The 19,917-nt window shown below is 36.7% G+C and overlaps 1 protein-coding gene across 16 annotated transcripts in view; it reads left to right on the forward strand.

The window, feature by feature from the left end:
• Window positions 1-19,917, forward strand: part of PIBF1 (progesterone immunomodulatory binding factor 1) — a 234,329-nt gene that overhangs the window by 12,170 nt on the left and 202,242 nt on the right. For all 16 annotated transcript variants that reach the window (NR_146205.2, NR_146206.2, NM_001349655.2 and 13 more), the window contains 2 exons: window positions 1,057-1,255; window positions 3,605-3,724. Coding sequence is in view for 14 of the 16 variants with exons in the window: in NM_001349655.2 (NP_001336584.1) it covers window positions 1,057-1,255; window positions 3,605-3,724 (319 nt within the window). In the remaining 2 variants the exon portion in view is untranslated. The remainder of the gene's footprint in view (window positions 1-1,056; window positions 1,256-3,604; window positions 3,725-19,917) is intronic.

The following is a 19,917-nucleotide window of genomic DNA, read 5'->3' on the forward strand; positions in this document are numbered from 1 at the left end:
TAGACAACTTTTGAGCAAGCTTGCTCCAAAGGGGTGGCTAACAAAGGGGGAAGTGCAGTGAAGTCCAGAGTTGTGGTTTTGTTTGTTCATTTGTTGTAAGATTGAAATAACAGCATGTGTGTCTGTTAATGGGATTGATATAGTAGGGAAGGGGAAAATCAGTAATATGATTTGGCTGTGTCCCCACCCAAATCTCATCTTGAATTATAGCTCCCATAATTCCTACATGTCATGGGAGGGACCTGATGGGAGGTAACTGAATCATGGAGGTGGTCTTTCCCATGCTGTTCTCATGATAGTGAATAAGTCTCACAAGATCTGATGGTTTTATAAATGGGAGTTCCCCTGCACAAGCACTCTTGTCTGCCACCATGTAAGACATGCCTTTGCTTCTCTTTTGCCTTCCGCCATGATTGTGAGGCCTCCCCTGCCATGTGGAAGTCTGAGTCCAGTAAACCTCTTTCCTTTATAAATTACCCAGTCTTGGGTATGTCTTTATTAGTAGCATGAGAGCAGACTAATAACATCAGATTGTCCCTTCCTGATCAGAATCTTTCAGTAGGCAACTAACAATAATGTCTGCTACATGTATTCTTTGAGAATGATGAGTATGTGCAGATTACTGTTTTCATTACCTCATTGGTTGAGTGAATACCTTATGGTGGTTCAGTGTTACCATCTTAAAGAGATATCCTTGAAGTATCAGGATAAAAGGGAAATGAAAATTACTTTAATAAGTAGAGTCCTTGATGTTTAACATTAAACCTTAAGCAGAAGAAATATATAATTTTATAATTTGAATTTCTAAAATTATTCTTTAAGAATATCAATTCTCTGTTTAATAATTTATATGGTTACACATTTAATAATTAGTATGGAATTGTCATTTCATATTTAACTGATTAATATGAGTAAATAAGTATTTAGCTGGAGTAAGTAAATAATACTGTCAGGTTTCTGATTTCCTAACTTTATGTTGATATAAATAGGAAACTGTGAGAAAATTAGATCTCAAATACTTTTTTAAAGCCTGCCATAAATTCTCTTCTAATGTAGCAAATATCAAGAATTAATGAAACAAGAAATGGAAACCATTTTGTTGAGACAGAAACAACTAGAAGAGACAAATCTTCAGCTAAGAGAAAAAGCTGGAGATGTTCGTCGAAACCTGCGTGACTTTGAGTTGACAGAAGAGCAATATATTAAATTAAAAGCTTTTCCTGAAGATCAGCTTTCTATTCCTGAATATGTATCTGTAAGTATCTTATATCTATTTTTAACTATGACATATATTTTCAGACTAAAATTTACCATTTATATAGTAGCAATTACTTTTGAAGTACCCAATTGATACATTATTTTATGGCTATGGATGGTGAATGGTGTTGAGATCCAAATTTTAAAGGATCATGACCATTGATCTCCAAAGTCAAGCAATAAATAGGTTTCTGAAGTTAATGACTGCATAGTCCATAGAAATGAATTATCGTAAACTGGTGGTTTCTTACATTCTCAAAATGAAAAATTATAAACAACAGAGTAGTTGTTGCCAGGGGTTGGTTGGGGATAGTGGGAGAGAGGAGTCAGCGTGGTTATAAAGGGATAGGATGAGAAAGAACTTTGTGGTGAGAGATTGGCGCAAGATCTTGATTGCAGTGCTGGTTACACAAATCTAGAACACCTAGGATTAATCTATGGCAGTGGTCTCAAATATTTTGGTGTCAGCATTCATTTACATTCTAAAAGTTATTGAGGACCCCAATGAGTGTTTGTTTATATGGGCTGTATCTATTAATATTTACCATACTAGAATTTTAAACTAACAACTTTTTTAAACACAAGAATAAGCACACAATTCCATTGGCCTTAAGAGTGATAATGTCATATGTCATGTAGCCACTGGCAAACTCCACTGAACAGTCATGAGAGAATGAGAATGAAACGGGGAAAAAAAATCTTAATAATTACTAGGAAAGTCGTTTTGATCTTGTGAATTCCCTGAAAGGATCTCAGAGTGGCGAGTGGGGCAGAGTCCAGGAGTCCCAAAACCATATGTTGAGAACTGCTGCTTTTTAATATGTAGATGTCATTTTACCCTGAGAGGCTTGAATTTTTTAATCCCTAAAAAGGGTTAATAGTAACGGTGCGTTTCTATTGGGGATAATTGTAAAGACTATAACTATGTATGTAAAATGCTTGTGAGCATAGTGCTTAGAAGATAGTAAACACATAAAAATGTTGTCTATTGTTTTTGCTGGAGTGGTGGTTGCTATTCTTGGTTCTCATTGGGAAAAGATTTGCAGATTAGTGATGTCTGATAAAATGAAGTTACTTTTTTGTTCAGCTGTTTTTTTTTTTTTTTTAAAAGGCTCAAATACAGCTTTTCTGTCCAAAGTATACTGTCCAAAACAAATTAAATATCTCAAATTCTGTTTTTGAGGCTTCATTTACAGTAGATATAAAGTATCACACTGGTGGCAGTTACACATATTTTTGCTGTTTGTTTTCTTAATATTCCTTCTTACATCTTTTGTTTTCACAGACAATATTATCCTTAACTAATTAATTATATGCAGATTCTTTTTGTTGAGGGCTAGTATTAAGATTTGCCTCTTACCAAATAATGGTATTCTTGTAATACCGTCATATGTTAAGGAGTTTCAGATTGCATGCCTATATGATAGCCCCTAATTACTCTCTCCTAATTTGCTGTGATGATTTCTTAGTTTTATGGGACCTTGTCAGATGGAACACTTTACTGAGCTAGGGTAGGAAAATTTCTCTGAGACAAGTATGAGTGGAAAGAGAGACCTGAACTAAATGGAAGTAATGATGTGAAAGATACCTCTTGATTCATTCTGATTAGACTTCCACTGTAGGGACAGCAGTAAATAAAGCTTTGCCAAGAGCCTGGGATGAAAATAAAGAATACACTTTACCTCTTCATCAAGTATTTATTGAGTGCTTATCATATATTTAGGCATTGGAAATACAGCGGTGTATAAACCAGACAAAAATCCCTGCCCTCAGGTTGTGAAAGTGGAGCAACACAGGCAATAACTTAAAAATTAAATATGTAGAATATCTGTTTGTCAAAGGTGCTACAGAGAAAAGAGCAGGGGTGAAAAATAGGGAGTGCTACTTAAAATTAGGTAAAGAAATCAGGGAGGGCTTTACTAACAAGGTAATATTTGGTCAGAGACCTATAGGGAGACAAGGCATGAGCCATGCATTTATATGGGGGAAGAACTTCTCTAGCAGAAGAAACAGCAAGAGCAAGACTCCTGAACATTTGTGATATGTTCCAGAAGTTTACAAGCACCTAGTGTGGAGTGAGCAGTAGTAGATGAGTAGTAATGGAGTGTCAGTAGAAGGGAGGAAATACTGTCAAAGGTAAGAGGTTATAAATCATCTGGCCCTTGAGGGAAGTTAATTGAACATTAAGGCTTGATAGAAAGTATTAGTGGCTAGGGTCCATTAATGACTGTCTTGTTGTAGTTTTGTAAATATTTATCTTTATTACTGATAAGTGAGAGCACTACAAATTACAAATTTTAATTGTAATTTGGATTTAAGACTGCTTATTAATTTAATTTTTTTCAAGGTTCGCTTCTATGAGCTAGTGAATCCATTAAGAAAGGAAATCTGTGAACTACAAGTGAAAAAGAATATCCTAGCAGAAGAATTAAGTACAAACAAAAACCAACTGAAGCAGCTGACAGAGGTTTGTATGGTTTTGATTGCTGGTGGGAAGAAGCTTCGGCTTTTTCTGTAGAGTCCCTCAGGATTTGTGATAAGGCATATAAAAGTCAGTGATTGAAAAATGGGACTATGGGATGGTGACTGCTACAGTTCAATAATGGGAAGGAGGTTAAATTGGAAGTAGTCATCTTAAACATTGACAAGACAAGTCTGTGTTATTGACGTATCCTATAGTTGAGCTTTTATTGTTGCAAGTCAATTTTATAATCAACTGCTTTTGAAATCCTAATATGGGCTATATCTGAAAATTGCTGTGTATCCTTAGATGACGCATATGCATGTATTTATTTAGTAATTTGTCTCTATTTTTAACATCACTTTGTCAGGAAATTTAAGCAAGAAACAAGAAATGTAGGCCAAGCTATGCAGGGGATCTCTTGCAGGTGCCATAAGAAAGAAGAAAAGGAGAATATTTTTACTTTGAACTAAGTTGACTCGTAGGTTCTGGTTTGCCTAAGACTGTTGCCATTATTCCTGTGAATAAATATTAATAGCACCCCTTTATTTTCAAAATTATCTCAGCCTAGACGATGAATATAGTAATCATAAATCAACATTTATATAGAAGGGTGGACTAATCATTAACTTGGTTGTATTATTGACCAGATATCCTAGAATACTATCTTGTAGTTATAGTCTACTAACAAAAAAATAATGGTAGATTGATTCATTCTACCATGTAACAGTTGGAAATGGGTGGCTGTTTTTCTTCAAATATTTCGTTATTCTAAAAGGAAAACACTTCTAGTTTACAAATGGGGGCTGCTGCAGTTCTTCATTACAAGTTAGCCTTGTTCGTGATATGAGATGGAGCTACTGTCCATTTATTACTTACGTGGCTTCTTTGTGAAGTGCAGTTAACTCTCATAATATTTATTCTGAGCATGTGTACTGATACTAGCATTAACCCCAGTGGTGTGCATGGTGCTGTGCTAGGTGCTGGCAGTGAACCCAAGAGAGGCAATGCCTGCCCTTCTAGAGTTTACTTTCTAGCAGGTTAGGATTAGAACGTTAGGTGATATTTTGACACTCTCATTTACTGTGTGACCATGACCAGGTCATTTAATGTTTCCTGTTCTGTCAAATGGAGAAAATAATACTGTTTGTTCATTTATTTAATTGCATTGCCTATATTTCTGTTTCAGAGTAAAAACATGATTTTAGCAAAGTTGCATACAAACATTTATGTCCTATTTTAAGGGCAGTTTTTGTCAATGATATTATCCAGAAATAAATAATTATAATTTAATTTGTATTTTTAATGCTCTACTTTGCTGTACTATTAGTCTTAGAGATAATTTACTTAAGTCTTGCCATAGAACCAATATTTCAGACAAAATAAGAAGGCTTAGCTTCCTCTCCTCTGAGGAGCAGTGACATCAGCAGGAGCAATTAGAGGGGCAGATGTGCCCCCACTCCAAACTTCAGTTGTTTTCTTTTCTTCTCCTAGCATGTCATATTGTGCAGGTAAACTGTTTTGCACATTTAGAAAGATAGTTCAATTAAAAAAAAAATTCAACTGTAGTCAAAATAGTAGAGAACAGAGAAGGCCACTGTTTGGCCACTTTCTAATTTTGCAGCCTTGGGCAAATCATTTATACTCTATTGTTTCTGTAAAATGCCCAGGATGGTTTTGGTGGTACAGGGGTTATTGGGGAAGAGGCAGTTAGACAAGGTCTTAGCGTTGGTTCTATACACCTTATGGTACCTCAGCATCCCTCAAGGACTTCTTACTGTGTAGTAGGAGGGCTGGAGGAGCTCCCTATCCTTGTTTTTATCAAGCCACCCTTTTTAAAATAACCTTAATATTTGGGACTTCTCAGCATGATTTCTCTTGAACACAGATTCCTCAGGCCATTCTTAGAGTTTGTGGTTTTTCTGCCCTGTCAAGGACCTGGTACAGGTCAACTTGCCAAACACTAGGAAAAAAGTAAATATTTTTAAATAAAAAGCAAAACCAATATCATTAAACAGCTTTATTTATTTATTTAAACAGAGCCTTGCTCAGTCGCCCCAGCTGGAGTGCAGTGGTGCCATGTCTGCTCATTGCAACCTCCACCTCCTGCGTTCAAGTGATTCTCGTGCTTTAGCCTCCCCAGTAGCTGGGCTTACAGGCATGCGCTACCACACCTGGCTAATTTATGTATTTTTAGTAGAGATAGAATTTCGCCATTTTGGCCAGACTGGTCTGGAACTCCTGGCCTCAAGAGATCCACCTGCCTTGGCCTCCCAAAGTGCTGGGATTACAGGCGTGAGCCACTGCACCTGGCCAAACAGGATGTAGTAAACAATAAATAGTACTACTCAATATTCAAATAAATGTCACATATTCTGGAGTTTATTTTTTGAAATGGTTCATTAAATTATTTACTGCTATTTATTTGAGGAATTAAAAGACATAGTTTCTCATCTCTGCGACTTGATAACAATGTGATGATCTTGGATAAAAAACAGTCTGTCTCCTATCTTAACAGCTTCTCCGTCCGTAAAATAGGGACGATAACATGTAACACCTACCACACGTGGTCATATTATAAAGAATGAAATTCATTCAATAAATGTGTATCCTGCATTTACTATATACGGCATGCATTATTCTTGGTACTTGGGATACCTTGTTAAACAAAACAGTAATCCCTGCCATCATGGAGTTTATATTTTTAAAGGATATCTGTGAGATGTATATTGTATTTTAAAAGGGAAAACAATAGCAAATCATGTAGTGTGACAAAAGTTGATAATTGTAATAGAAAAAAGAAAAAAATAGTTCAAGATAAGGTGAATTGAGTGCTATATGGAGAGCAGGGAAGAGAGCATTGTCAGAATTCTGTAAGGTTGGCTAGTAGGTCTCATTAAACAGCTTAGAAGTTTACAAAGCCTTGAGGAAGTGAGAGAGAGAACAAGGCTGTCTTCCTTGAGACAGCTCAGGGAAGAGCTTCTAGGTAGCAAGAACAGCCAATGCAAAGGCAGGGGGGTACTTTGGTATTTGTGGAACAGTGAGGAGGGCAATATGACTGGTATGCTTGAAGGGTGGAGGAGGATAGTTGTAGTTAAGATCAGAGAGGTAATGAGTCTGTTGAGGTCATCATACAGACTTTGATTTTAACCTTAAGTGAAATGAAAAGTTGCAGGATTTTGGAAAGAGGTCTGACATGATCTGACATGTACAGTTGACTGTTGAACAACATGGGTTTGAACTGTGTAGGTTTATTTACACATAGATTTTTTTTTTCAGTAGATATACTGGAAAATTTTTTGGAGGTTTGTGACACTCGCAGATGAACTATGTAGCCTAGAAATATAGAAAAAATCAAGAAAAAGTTATGTAATGAATGCATAAAATATATGTAGGTACTATATTTTATCATTTACTACCATAAAATGTACACAAATCTATTATCAAAAGTTAAAATTTATCAAAGCATGCATACACAGACCTTACATGGTGCTATTTTCAGTAGAGAGAAATGTAAACAAACGTAAAGATGCAGTATTAAATCATAACTGCATAAAATTAGCTGTAGTACATACTTTACTACTGTAATAATTTCTTAGCCTCCTCCTGGCTATTCTGGTAAACTCAAGTGTTTGGGATATCTGCTTAAAACGCTGTATGATGCTAATCATCCCCACATGAGCAGTTCTCCAGTAAAATGTGAATCACAATAAAAAGTGATTTCTCGCAGTTCTGGCATATTATTTTTCATCATGTTTAGTGCAGAACTGTAAGCCTTGAATAACACCATGGGAACCATATGAAGTGTCACCAGTGATGCTGGAAGAGCTCTCAAGCAGCAGAGAAAATTTATGACATTGTAAGAAAAAGTTAATGGGTTGCCTACCATTTTGGAGAGACCATTAATTTTGTAAACAAATTATGTAAAACTTAGAGCATCCATAATACAGTACAGTTATGTAAATGTATTTTCTTAGGATTTTTAAAAAATGTTTTCTCTAGCTTTTATTGTAAGAATACAGTATATAATACATATAACATACAAAATATGTACTAATAGACTATGTTATACTAAGGCTTCCAGTCAACAGTAGGCTATCTGTAGTTAAGTTTTCAGTGAGTCAAAAGTTACACATGGATTTTTTTTTTGACTGTATGGGAGTTGGTACCCCAACCCCTGTATCGTCCAAGGGTCAAGTCTATTTAAGGTATCATTCTGGCTGGTACATAGTAGACCGTCAACAAATGTTTTCTTTATTGAATTTCTTTTTAATGAGTATTTTAAAACCTTCCTGTTGTCCTGGATAATGTTTTTTAAAGAAAGTTCTCTCCTGAGAACAGACTGTAGAGCTATAAGGATGGAAACAAAGAGACTTGTTAAGAGGCTGTTGTAATCTAGGGGAGAGATTATTGTGTTTCAGATCTAGATGGTAGCAGGGGAAGTGGTAGATTCTGGATTTATTTTAAAGTAGAGCCAATAGAAAAAAGGTAGAGTCATGAATTGGATGGAGGATGTTAAAGAAAGATAGGAGTCAAATTAACTCTAAAAAATGTTAGTTTGAATAACTGGAAGGATAGATTTCTGTTCAGCTGAGATAGGTAGGTTGTGAATGAGGCCGACTTGAGTGCAAAAGAGTGTGGATCTTAGACATGTTGAGTTTGAGAGATCTGTTAGATGTACAGTCAAAGGTATGTGGATATACAGGTGTGAACTTTAGAAGATAAGCATTCAAGAGTCATCAGCATAAAGACGATATTTAAAGCCAGGATGAGATTACCAAAGGAGAGTGAGTGTAGGGAAGAGAAGGAAGACCACAGCTTGAGCTCCAGGGCACTTCAACATTGAAATGTGGGAGAGAGAAGGAGGAGTTACCAGTGAAATAGGGAAATTAAGAGAATTTTATGTCCAGGAAATCAAAGGGCAAAAGTTTGTCAAGGAAAAGAGAGTGATCAGCTGTTTCAAATGCTGTTGATAGGTACAGTTAGATGAAGACTAAGAATTGACATTGTATTTAACAAGGTCATTGAAAACCTTGTCAAGAGTAGTTCTGGAGGAGGGATAGGGTCAGCAGTTTGATTACAGTGTTTGAGAGTGAATGGAGGAAATAAACTGGACATAGAGTATAGACAACTCTTTCTGAGTAATACTACTGTATAGAGGAACAAAGAGAGTTGGCAATTACAGGAAACATGGAGCCAGGGAAGGCTTGTTTTTTTTTTGTTTTTTTGTTTTGTTTTTTGTTTTTTGTTTTTTTCCTTAAGAGAGATGACAGCTGTTGTATTTAAAATCACATTGTAACCATAAAAATTTTCTCATTGTCGACAACGGTAGAAGGACATTCATGTAATTGTTAACCAACAGTGTAGGTAGTACTGTTGGATACCCAGTTATAGTTATGTTTAAGGCTCCCCACTTTAGTGCTATCCGTGTAATAAAAAGAGTCATGTATATTTGGGGTATTGCCAATAGTATGTGTTTCTGTGATTATGATATTTGGGGAAACTACTAGAACAGAGGGGTGTTTGTTGATTGAATTACTCCTGATTAGTTCTGTGGGACTTTCTTAATATCTAAATAGTGGTTTAAAGAATAATAATTTAGTAAAGTGAGATAATTTATCTCTTAATAGCTAGAGTTTTAATTATGTCACAAAAAGTTGAGTTTCGATTTAAAAAACAACTGAAGAATATATTTATAAGTGAGTAAGGAAGATAGAGAATGTTATGACCACTAGAGGAGGGTTTACAAAAAGATCTGGGTTATTTAAATGAGGCTGGGGGAGGTTGAAGAGGTGATTGGACACTGTCAGGTTACTGAGGTTCAATTGTCATCAGTGAGAACCATTGTCTCTAGACTTTTAAAACTAATCACAAACCCCTAATTTATGAAAGTGCTAAATGAAATTGTCAGTTTTTCATTTGAAGTTTTCTGTTTTTTCTTCTGTTACTTGGAATGTTCTTATCTGAGTGTTTTTTGCCCAGTGGTATTTCATGTTTCTTTCCTCTTCAGTCTGTGGGCTGCATATATATACTTATTGTTGGCCTGAAGCAGACAATAAAAACAGAGAAATGCCCATCATATCCAAAGGAAGTAGCAAGAAAATTTCGACTTTTCCAATGGTGTCATTAATTTTAAGTTTCTTGACCCAAAAGAGTAAATTTTCCTCTTAACTATAGTGGGAGAAAAAATAATATATTTTCCTCACCCATTGCAAGGTTTATGGCTGAGACTCCAATAATAAAAGAGTAATAAGAGAAAAGCATAACAAATTTATGTATAATTTATATGTATAATTTAATATAAATTTTATGTGACATGGGAACCTTCAGAAATGAAGACTAAAAGACCCAGGGAAAATGTATTTTTGTGGATTGTCATGCATAAGTATGATTGGAAGACAAAAGTGTATGATCTGATGGTAATCAACTGGGAGAATTTAGCAAGGCTTGTTTGTTCACATTCTTCTTGGGCTGTCTGTGACATTCCTTCCCATTAGGTATAGGGCAGGACGCCTGTCACCTTAGGGGAGAGGGGAGGGAGAAAGAGAGTGGCCTTCCTAGGTTTGATGACCTGCTTCAAGGGAGAAAGAGGCAAGGGGAATTTTCATTTATGTGGCCCACTTCAAGAGAGATGGGTTGGGAGAAGGTCAGGGAGACCCCCCTGTTTCTGCAGTTTTCTTAATTTCCTTCAGGTTAAAATACTCAGTATGCCAGGGTGCCATGTTTCGAGGTGTCTGTTCTAAGTCCTAACAGAGGAATTAATATTTTATTTTGTAGTGAACAAATTGAAAATATATCCAGTAAAAGTGTGTACACTGATTCTGTTTTCCTAAATTTGACAAATAAAAGGAAGTGTTACTTTGTTCAATAAGTGTTCAATAAGTAAGATACACTGCCATAGTAAGTTTCAGGACAAGGTCCATGATATATAGCTGCAACCACCATAAAGTTACTAAATTTTTTCTTTTTTGAGCCAGAGTCACACTCTTGTCACCTAGGCTGCAGTGCAGTGGTACAGTCTCGGCTCACTGGAACCTTTGCCTCCCGGGTTCAAGCGATTCTCCTGCCTCAGCCTCCCAAGTAGCTGGGATTACAGGCACCCACCACCACACTCAGCTAATTTTTGTTTGTTTGTTTTTTGAGATGGAGTCTCGCTTTGTCGCCCAGGCTGGCATGCAGTGGCACGATCTCGGTTCACTGCAAGCTCCGCCTTCTGGGTTTACGCCATTCTCCTGCCTCAACCTCCCGAGTAGCTGGGACTACAGGCACACGCCACGACGCCTGGCTAATTTTTTGTATTTTTAGTAGAGACGGGGTTTCACCATGTTAGCCAGGATGGTCTCGATCTCCTGACCTCGTCATCCGCCCGCCTTGACCTCCCAAAGTGTTGGGATTACAGGTATGAGCCACCACACCTGGCCTGAAGTTACTAACTTTTAATAAGACATGATCCAAATTTTTCATATGACATTATTCAAAAGATCTTCATAAAGTGATTCAACAAATATTTTATTCTTCAACTCATACTTATTTAAGGTTGGATATTTTAAGATAAACAACATTAGTCTTATTAATGACTTTATGTAATTTTAAAGTTGGATACAATATAAGCTTTGGGGAAAAAAACATGACTAGATGGTATTCACCCAAGAATTTTAAGGGACTTAAAGGATGAACCTGAAACTGCAGCACATGTATAATATTGCTATCAAACAGAGCACTTGAAGTAGGTGTAATTGCTTGAAAGCTGGTAAATTGCCTGCCTGAGTCTAGAAACTAAAGACCTCCACACTTAAAACTGATAAAGCACTCTTTTATGCTTACTGAGCTTGTGTAATGCATGAAGATTAGGATCAGTGAATACTTAGGCAAGTTAAATACTTCCCCTTATGGGGGAAGGTCAACAGAGTGGTACAAATGGACAAATTATATTTCACATATATATAAAGAGAAAATAGAGAACAAATTATATAGACTTTCAAAAAGCCATTGACAGGTTTTAAATTCTAGCTTTTAAAAATTGGCAGGCTTTTAAAAAATTACAGTGAATAACATAACATTAAATTTAAGACTTTATTTTCATGTATACAATTCAGTAAAGAATACTCACATTGTGCAACAGATCTCTAGTACTTTTGTATGTTGCAACACTGAAAACTACCCACTAGACACTGATTCTCCCTCTCCCCTCCCCCAGTCATTGGTAACCATTTTTTAACTTTGTTTCTATGATTTTGATTAGTTTAGATTCGTCATATGAGTAGAGTCCTACAGTATTTGCCCCTTTGTGATTGGTTTCAATTAGCATAATGCCCTCAGGGTTTATCCATGTTGTAGCATGTGACAGAATTTTCTTTTTTTTTTTTATTGTACTTTAAGTTCTGGGGTACATAGGCACAACGTGCAGGTAGTGTTACGTAGGTATACTCCTGCCATGGTGGTTTGCTGCACCCATCAACCCGTATCTACATTAGGTATTTCACCTAATGCTATCCCTCCCCTAGTCCCCCACCCCCTGATAGGCCCCAGTGTGTGATGTTCCTCTCCCTGGTCCAAGTGTTCTCATTGTTCACCTCCCACTTATGAGTGAAAACATGTGGTGTTTGGTTTTCTGTCCTTGTGATGGTTTGCGGAGAATGATGGTTTCCAGTTTCATCCATGTCCCTGCAAAGGACATTAACTCTTCCTTTTTTATGGCTGCATAGTATTCCATGGTGTATATGTGCCACAGTATCTAGTCTATCATTGATGGGCATTTGGGTTGGTTCCAAGTCTTTGCTATTGTGAACAGTGCCACAATAAACATGTGTGCATGTTTTTATAGTAGCATGATTTATAATCCTTTGGGTATATACCCAGTAATGGAATTGCTGGGTCAGATGGTATTTCTAGTTCTAGATCCTTGAGGAATCACCACACTGTCTTCCACAATTGTCTTTCACAGTCAGGTTGAACTAATTTACGCTTTTTTTTTTTTCTATTTTAAGGTTACATAATATTCCATTGTGTGTATATACCACATTTGCTTTATCCATTCATCTATAAATAGATACCTGAATTGCTTCTACCTCTTGGGAGAAATGGGCAGACTTTGTAAGAAGTGTTATCATGAATTCTCAGGAAATTGTTTTCTCTTTAGTAGGTGAAGGATAAGAGCCAAAAAAAAAAAAGGAATAAAAAGAACTAAATGAAAAACAAAAATAGAAGTATTCTTCAGATACAACTGTTAAATCCAATCTTATTCATTATTTAACATTTTAATACATTTATTGGGCTGGGCACAGTGGCTCTCGCCTGTAATCTCAGCACTTTGAGAGGTCGAGGTGGGCAGATCACCTGATGTCAAGAGTTTGAGACCAGCCTGGTTAATATGGCAAAACTCCGTCTCTATTAAAAATACATAAATTAGTCAGGTGTGGTGGCAAACACATGTAGTCCCAGCTACTCAGGAGGCTGAGGCAGGAGAATCGCTTGAACCTGAGAGGTGGAGGTTGTAGTGAGCCAAGATTGTGCCACTGCACTCCAACCTGGGCAACAGAGCAAGAGTTTGTCTCAAAAAAAAAAATTTAATACATTTATTGATGAGGAAGCACAAAGTATAATCTCAAGTTTGTAGACAGTAAAGTTTTTCTGAGCAGTGGAACACCAAACTAGTAGGGCAGATTGGAGGAAGGTCTCAAAAGGTAAGTGGACTGATTATAAATGAATGTGTTTTCTTTTTAATAACTATCAATCAGCTTATATTCCCAAAATTAGCATGTTCAAAATTGATCACCTGCCCCAGAGTGTAATTTTTTGCCATTTTATTATAGAAATTTTCAAACGTAACTTGAATTTCACAATGACACCAGTATATTTATCAGTAAATTTCTGCCATTAACATTTTTATTGTATTTGTCTTATCAAATACCTCTCCATCTATCCATCTGCCAGTCACATTTAATTTTATGGGAAAATGCTGAACTTTTTTTTCCATTTGTCAGTAATTTCTTCCTTTTCATTACTGAGTGGTATTACATTGAATGGCTCTAGTTATTTACCATTTAATGGGCATTTGAGTTATTTCCGATTCAGAGACTTTACAAACAAAGCTCTGAGAACATTTGAGTATGGTTTTTTGTGTGGACATGTTTTTTCTCTTGAGTAAGTACTTAAGTGTGGAATTTTTTACTTCTAGAATTTCAGTTTGGTTATTTATTATAGCTTTTATTTCTCTATTTGTTTACTTATTATGAACATATTTTCCTTTACACCACTGAGAATTGTTAAAATAGGAGCTTTAAAATTCTTGTCTGCTAATTCCAAACACTGGGTCACCTTGGAGTTGATCTCTGTTGATTGTCTTTTCTTTTAGAAATGGGTCACATGTTCCTCTTTCTTCAGATGTCAAGTAACTTAAAATTGTTTAGACCATCGAGTAAGTGTAGATGAGAACATTGTGAGTATTATGTTGTTGAGACTCTGCATTTTATGTACCTCTAAACGGTGGTGATGTTCTTGTTTTAGCAGGAAATTACTTGGTTGTACTCAAACAGCATACTCTGTCTATTGGGCAGGTGTTCAAATTTCAGTTCAATTTTTTTTGGTATTATTGGGGCTGCTCAGAGTCTGTCCTACACATATGTTGTTTAGAGGGTAGCCAGATACTTAAGCAGAAATTACCCAGAGAATTCAGTTTCCCCTCTCTGGCTATCTCTGAAATTTCCTCCTCATTTAGAGCAGCTGCAGTTCCCATAAATACCAAAGATTTTCTCATGCACCTTGATCCATCCAACCTGGCACAGAATGGGACTGGCCTCAGGCTAAGGGCTACTAAACAAAAACAAAAAATACCAGGAAACTCACCTAAATGCTGAAAATGATAGCAATAATGACAACTCCATAGTGGTTTACTAAGAGAAACTAAGGTATTTGTTAGGCATATCTCTGAGTTTTGAGACCAGCAATTAAGAAAACAAATTTTCCATTTTACTTAAAAAGTTTATTCTCTACAGAGAGTTCATGAATCTGGAGAAAATAAAATTACTCTCAGTCTTTCCGTTTTACTTTATGGATCTTTCTTATCCAAAATGGTCTTAATTTTTTTCACCACTTGGGGGCAGTATATGTCCCTTTTTTTTTTTTTTTTTTTTTTTAATTAAACCTGTTGGGGGCTATTTGGAAAATGTGATTATTTTTGAGCTAGAGACCCAAAGCTTTACATTTAGTTACCTTATTTTCATTTATATTCATTATTTCATATAAAATGCCTGCAATCAATCACATAGTATCTTTTTCTAGTAAAATTTAATATATTTAGAACTTGGAGAATGGAGTATCAAAACAAAAATTTGTGTTCCATAATATGTATTCAGAGATGTCTCAGTTATTGCACTAATTTCATAATTATGCCTACCAGAAATATTGAGAATTTTTAATTCTGTTAAAACCAAAAACATTCAGGGTTTTAAATTCTGTTAAAGCCACATGAAATCATTAAAGCCACACAATTACACAGTTAATTTGACTCTGCTTTTGTTTGTATGAGATTAAAACTGTTTAAGAAATTTAATAGAAGGTTTTTTTTTGGTTTTTTTTTTTTTTTTTTTGGAGATGGAGTTTTGCTCTTGCCCAGGCTGGAGTGCAATGGCATGATTTTGGCTCACTGCAACCTCTGCCTCCTGGGTTCAAGCAATTCTCCTGCCTCAGCCTCCCGAGTAGCCGGGAGTACAGGCATGCGCCACCATGCCTGGCTAATTTTTGTATTTTTAGTAGAGAGGGGTTTCACCATGTTGATCAGGCTGGTCTCGAACTCCTGACCTCAAGCGATCTGCCTGCCCTGGCCTCTCTAAGTGCTGGAATTACAGGCATGAGCCACTGCGCTTGGCCAGAATGTGATTCTTGACCTTTAAAAGGAAATTACTCTTTCTGAAGTGGCAGTTTTAGTGGATTTCTGGGATTTCCTTTTGTAATTTTTTCCAGATCTTTAGTTATTTGCAAATAACATCTAGATACTATTATAACACTGGAAAATAGGGCTCATCTTTTACTTCAAGTCCGGAGTTTATTTAAAAGTGTCAGTAATGTAGTCTAATTCTGGCTTATTTTGAGTTACATTATGTATATGATCTTGTGTATGGTACTTTATGTTTATAAAAGTGCTTATAGATAACTTTATTTCCTATTTATGAATTTTCTCTATTAGCAGGTCAAAATTTTGGTTGATCACATGCAACTCAGCTATATGTTGCTGTTTTGCTATTATAGAGTTAGTTCAGCATGCTTTTTCATATCAAAAGGATGTGATGTTAGAGATACAGTGTAAGGCATTAGTGAATCTGCACTTAATAAAACTATTAAATTTCATGAGGAAATGGTGAAATATTTTTCTCTTATGAGAACTTTGGTAACTAGGAAGCAAGAAGAATTTTGTCAAGAGTACTTCCTTGTTTAGAAACATAGTTACATTCTTTAAAAAATTCTGCAAGATTATCTTGAGGTTCATCTTAAGTATTCATATGTAAGTAATTCAGTTAATTTTATTTGTATGAAAATGAGTTATTTCATTGATGAAACATATTTGTTTATTAAAGTTTTTATATTTTAGGGAGTGTTAACTGTTTTCTGAGATTTCTTTTTATCTTATCCAAGTGATGAGCTTAAAGTTTCTTTGTAAGGTACATATTTATGATGATACCCATCAGTTATAATTATCCTAGAATGCTTAACAAATTAGTAAACAGTGATAGATTTGCCTCTTTATATTAAATTTAAAATGTATAAGCATTGCTTAAAATTTAGATTCATAGCCACCTGCATGGGTTCTATTTTGGTCTGAGGTGGAACTAAGAACCTCAATTTTTTTTTTTTTTTTTGAGACGGAGTCTCGTTCTGTTGCCCAGGCTGGAGTGCCTTGGCACAATATAGGCTTACTGCAAGCTCCGCCCCCCAGGTTCACACCATTCTCCTGCCTCAGCCTCCCGAGTAGCTGGGACTACAGGTGCACGCTGCCACTCCCGGCTAATTTTTTGTATATCTTTTTAGTAGAGACAGGGTTTCACTGTGTTAGCCAGGATGGTCTTGATCTCCTGACCTCGTGATCTGCCCACCTTGGCTTCCCAAAGTGCTGGGATTATAGGCGTGAGCCACCGCACCCAGCCAGAACCTCAATTTTTAATAAACAACCCAAGATTCTAATGTGGCGGGTTCATGGACACTGACCACAAATCATTTTTTAAGCTATTTTTGTTAACTTATTAATTGAGATTTAAAAATAACTTTGAATTTTTAATTACATTTCCTGATTTGAAATTTATATATTGGCTGGGCACCATGACTCACTGCTATAATACCAGCACTCTGGGAGCCCAATGTGGATGGATCACCTGAGGTCAGGAGTTCAAGACCTGAACATCGGGAAACCCCATCTCTACTAAAAATACAAAAATCAGCTGGGTGTGGTGGTAGGCACCTGTAATCCCAGCTACTTGGGAGGCTGAGGCAGGAGAATCACTTGAACCCAGGAGGTGGAGGTTGCAGTGAGCGGAGATCGCGCCGTTGCTCTCTAGCCTGGGTGACAGAACAAAACTCCGTCTCAAAAAAAAAAAAAAGAGAGAGAAATGTATATATTAATGCCATTTCTTGCCGCCAATATAAAGTTAATATGTTTTAATATATTTAACATATTCAAGAATATAATTGAAGTCATACACTATTACGTTACAACTTGGACTTACTAAAATCCCTCTCTTGCCTATACCTCTAAAACCTCTAAAAAATTGCTCCTTCACAAACCTGTTAAGTTTTTACAAATAATACAAATGGCTTACGATAAAAGTGCATGAGGGAAAAAAAATTCATGGGAAAGCTAAAATGAATGCAATTTTAAGTACGACATAATTGGGAAGAAGTTTCATTTAGCTGATTGTTTTATACATGCTGTATGAAGAGACATAATCTTTTAAAGAGTCATAAGACTTTTTTTTCCCTTTGCTACTGTGTGTATAATCTTTAGTAAATCTAGGAACTTGTAAATTTTAGGGGCAAGTTTTGAGGGGCTTATTGGGTTTTGAGATGAAATTTTGAACCCAGTGGCCAAAAGGATGTATCACTACATGATGGCACGGGAAAACTCAGGAGGGACCTTACCAAATACTTTGGTTTAAATCCAGAGATACCATGATAACTTCGTTCTCTTGATCTGCATAGTGTTTCTAAGCCAGATTCCACAGATATGTTTTGGAGTATCTAAGAGTTCTTTTTGATAATTTTTAACTTTATGATTTAATTTTTTTAATGACCTCAGAAATTAACAGATGCATATGATGGTTCATCTGAATGAATAATTTATAATAGAGTACTATCACTATGATGTCATTGCCCATGTTTGCATTTAATTTTGTCATGGCATTAGCACCACAGATCACAGTTTAAAAAAACAGTAGTCAACTGTCCAGGCACAGTGGCTCACGGCTGTAATCCCAGCACTTTGGGAGGCCAAGGCAGGAGGATTGCTTGAGCTCAGGAGTTCGAGACCACCCTGGCCAACCTGGTGAAACCCTGTCTCTACCAAAAATACAAAAACTCCAGCCTGGCCAACATGGTGAAACCCTATCTCTACCAAAAAATACAAAAATTAGCTGGGTGTGGTGGTGCAGGCCTGTAGTCCCAGCTACTCGGGAGGCTGAGATGAGAGAATTGCTTGAACCTGGGAGCCAGAGGTTGCAGTGAGCCAAGATTGTGTCCAGCCTGGAAGACAGAATGAGACCCTGTCTCAAAAAACTACAAAAAAAAAACCCCAAAACAAAAACTTAGCCAGGTGTCGTGGCACACATCTGTGGTCCCAGGTAGGAGGATTGCTTGAGCCCGGGGTAGGGGTAGGGGAGCAGAGTTTGCAGTGAGCCAAGATCGCACCACTGTATTCCAGCCTGTGTAAGAGTGAGACTCCGCCTCAAAAAAAAGAAAGAAAAAAGAAAAGAAAGAAATAGCCATCAACTTAATTTGTAAGATAGGTATTTCAGCCAAATAAAGGCCAGGTGCTATCATGCATCACTGTATGAATAAAAGTTTCACAGTTCAAATAGAGAAAAATGATGACAATATAGAGTTGTCACACTACTGAGCATAGTCATGCCAAACTCAAAGCTAAATGAACTCCTACTTATTTTACTATTTTAAGGTTAAATTATATAGTCAACATTAACTACTGAATAGAATAAGCATTGCTGTTTAGGCTTAGTTGAAAGGAGGAAGTAAAGGGATTCTAGGAGATGAAAATGTGAATGCATGTCATTTTTCCTTTCTTTTCCAGTTCAAAGTATCCCTCTCTCAGCTGTCTTCTGGCAGGCAGCTGGATCTGAGTGGAAGTCTTGAGCTTTGGGAAAGCTAGTGTTCCAGTTACGTATTGCTGCATAACAAATCACCCTAAAACTTGCTGTCTCACAATAATTTATTATTTGTCACAGCTCTGAAGGTTGATAGGTTCAGCTGAGTTTTTCTTACCTCACTGAGGCTGGGGTCATCTGAAGTCTTCTTTAGTCACCAGTTTGGAGCCAGGATGATATGACCAAAACATTACTCCCTTTTGCACTTGGCCTCTTCATGTGATTAGTTTAGGCATCCTTCAACATGGCAGTCTCACAGCATGGCAGCTGGCCACCTCCAAAGCAAATATTCAAGAAACTCAGGCGAAACTTAAAGACTTCTTAGGATGTAACTTCAAAATCCCAGAAAATTGCTTCTCCCACATGCTTTTGGTTAAGCAGATCATTAAGAGGAATGGACCCACTTCTTAATCAGAAAATAGCTTCCTGCATACAAGGGAAGAAATTGATAGAGACCGTCTTGGAGATAAGCTACAAAATTTGAGATTTCTCTCCCCTGACTTGAGTGAAAGCCTAGAAATAGTGTGAGAGAACCCTGAGCAAGAGCAGAACAGATTGTCGGCAGAGCTCGGCCTATAAAAATCTATGGATTACTCCCTTCACTCCTCACCCCAAATAAGGTGGATAAAGTCTCCTTTGCCTCCACTAGGTGAGGGAATCGATGTACAGTGTTCTGTTAAAAGAAAGACTCTTATTATGACCTTCAAACCAAGCCCAGCTCTATTTGTTTATAGGAAATATGCTTAATGAAAATTGATAAAGATTGAAAAATGGGCCGGGTGCAGTGGCTCACGCCTGTAATCCCAGCGCTCTAGGAGGCTGAGGCGGGTGGATCAC

The sequence above is a fragment of the Homo sapiens genome, chromosome 13 (assembly GCF_000001405.40).
Source record: "Homo sapiens chromosome 13, GRCh38.p14 Primary Assembly".
Classification (NCBI taxonomy): Eukaryota; Metazoa; Chordata; class Mammalia; order Primates; family Hominidae; genus Homo; species Homo sapiens.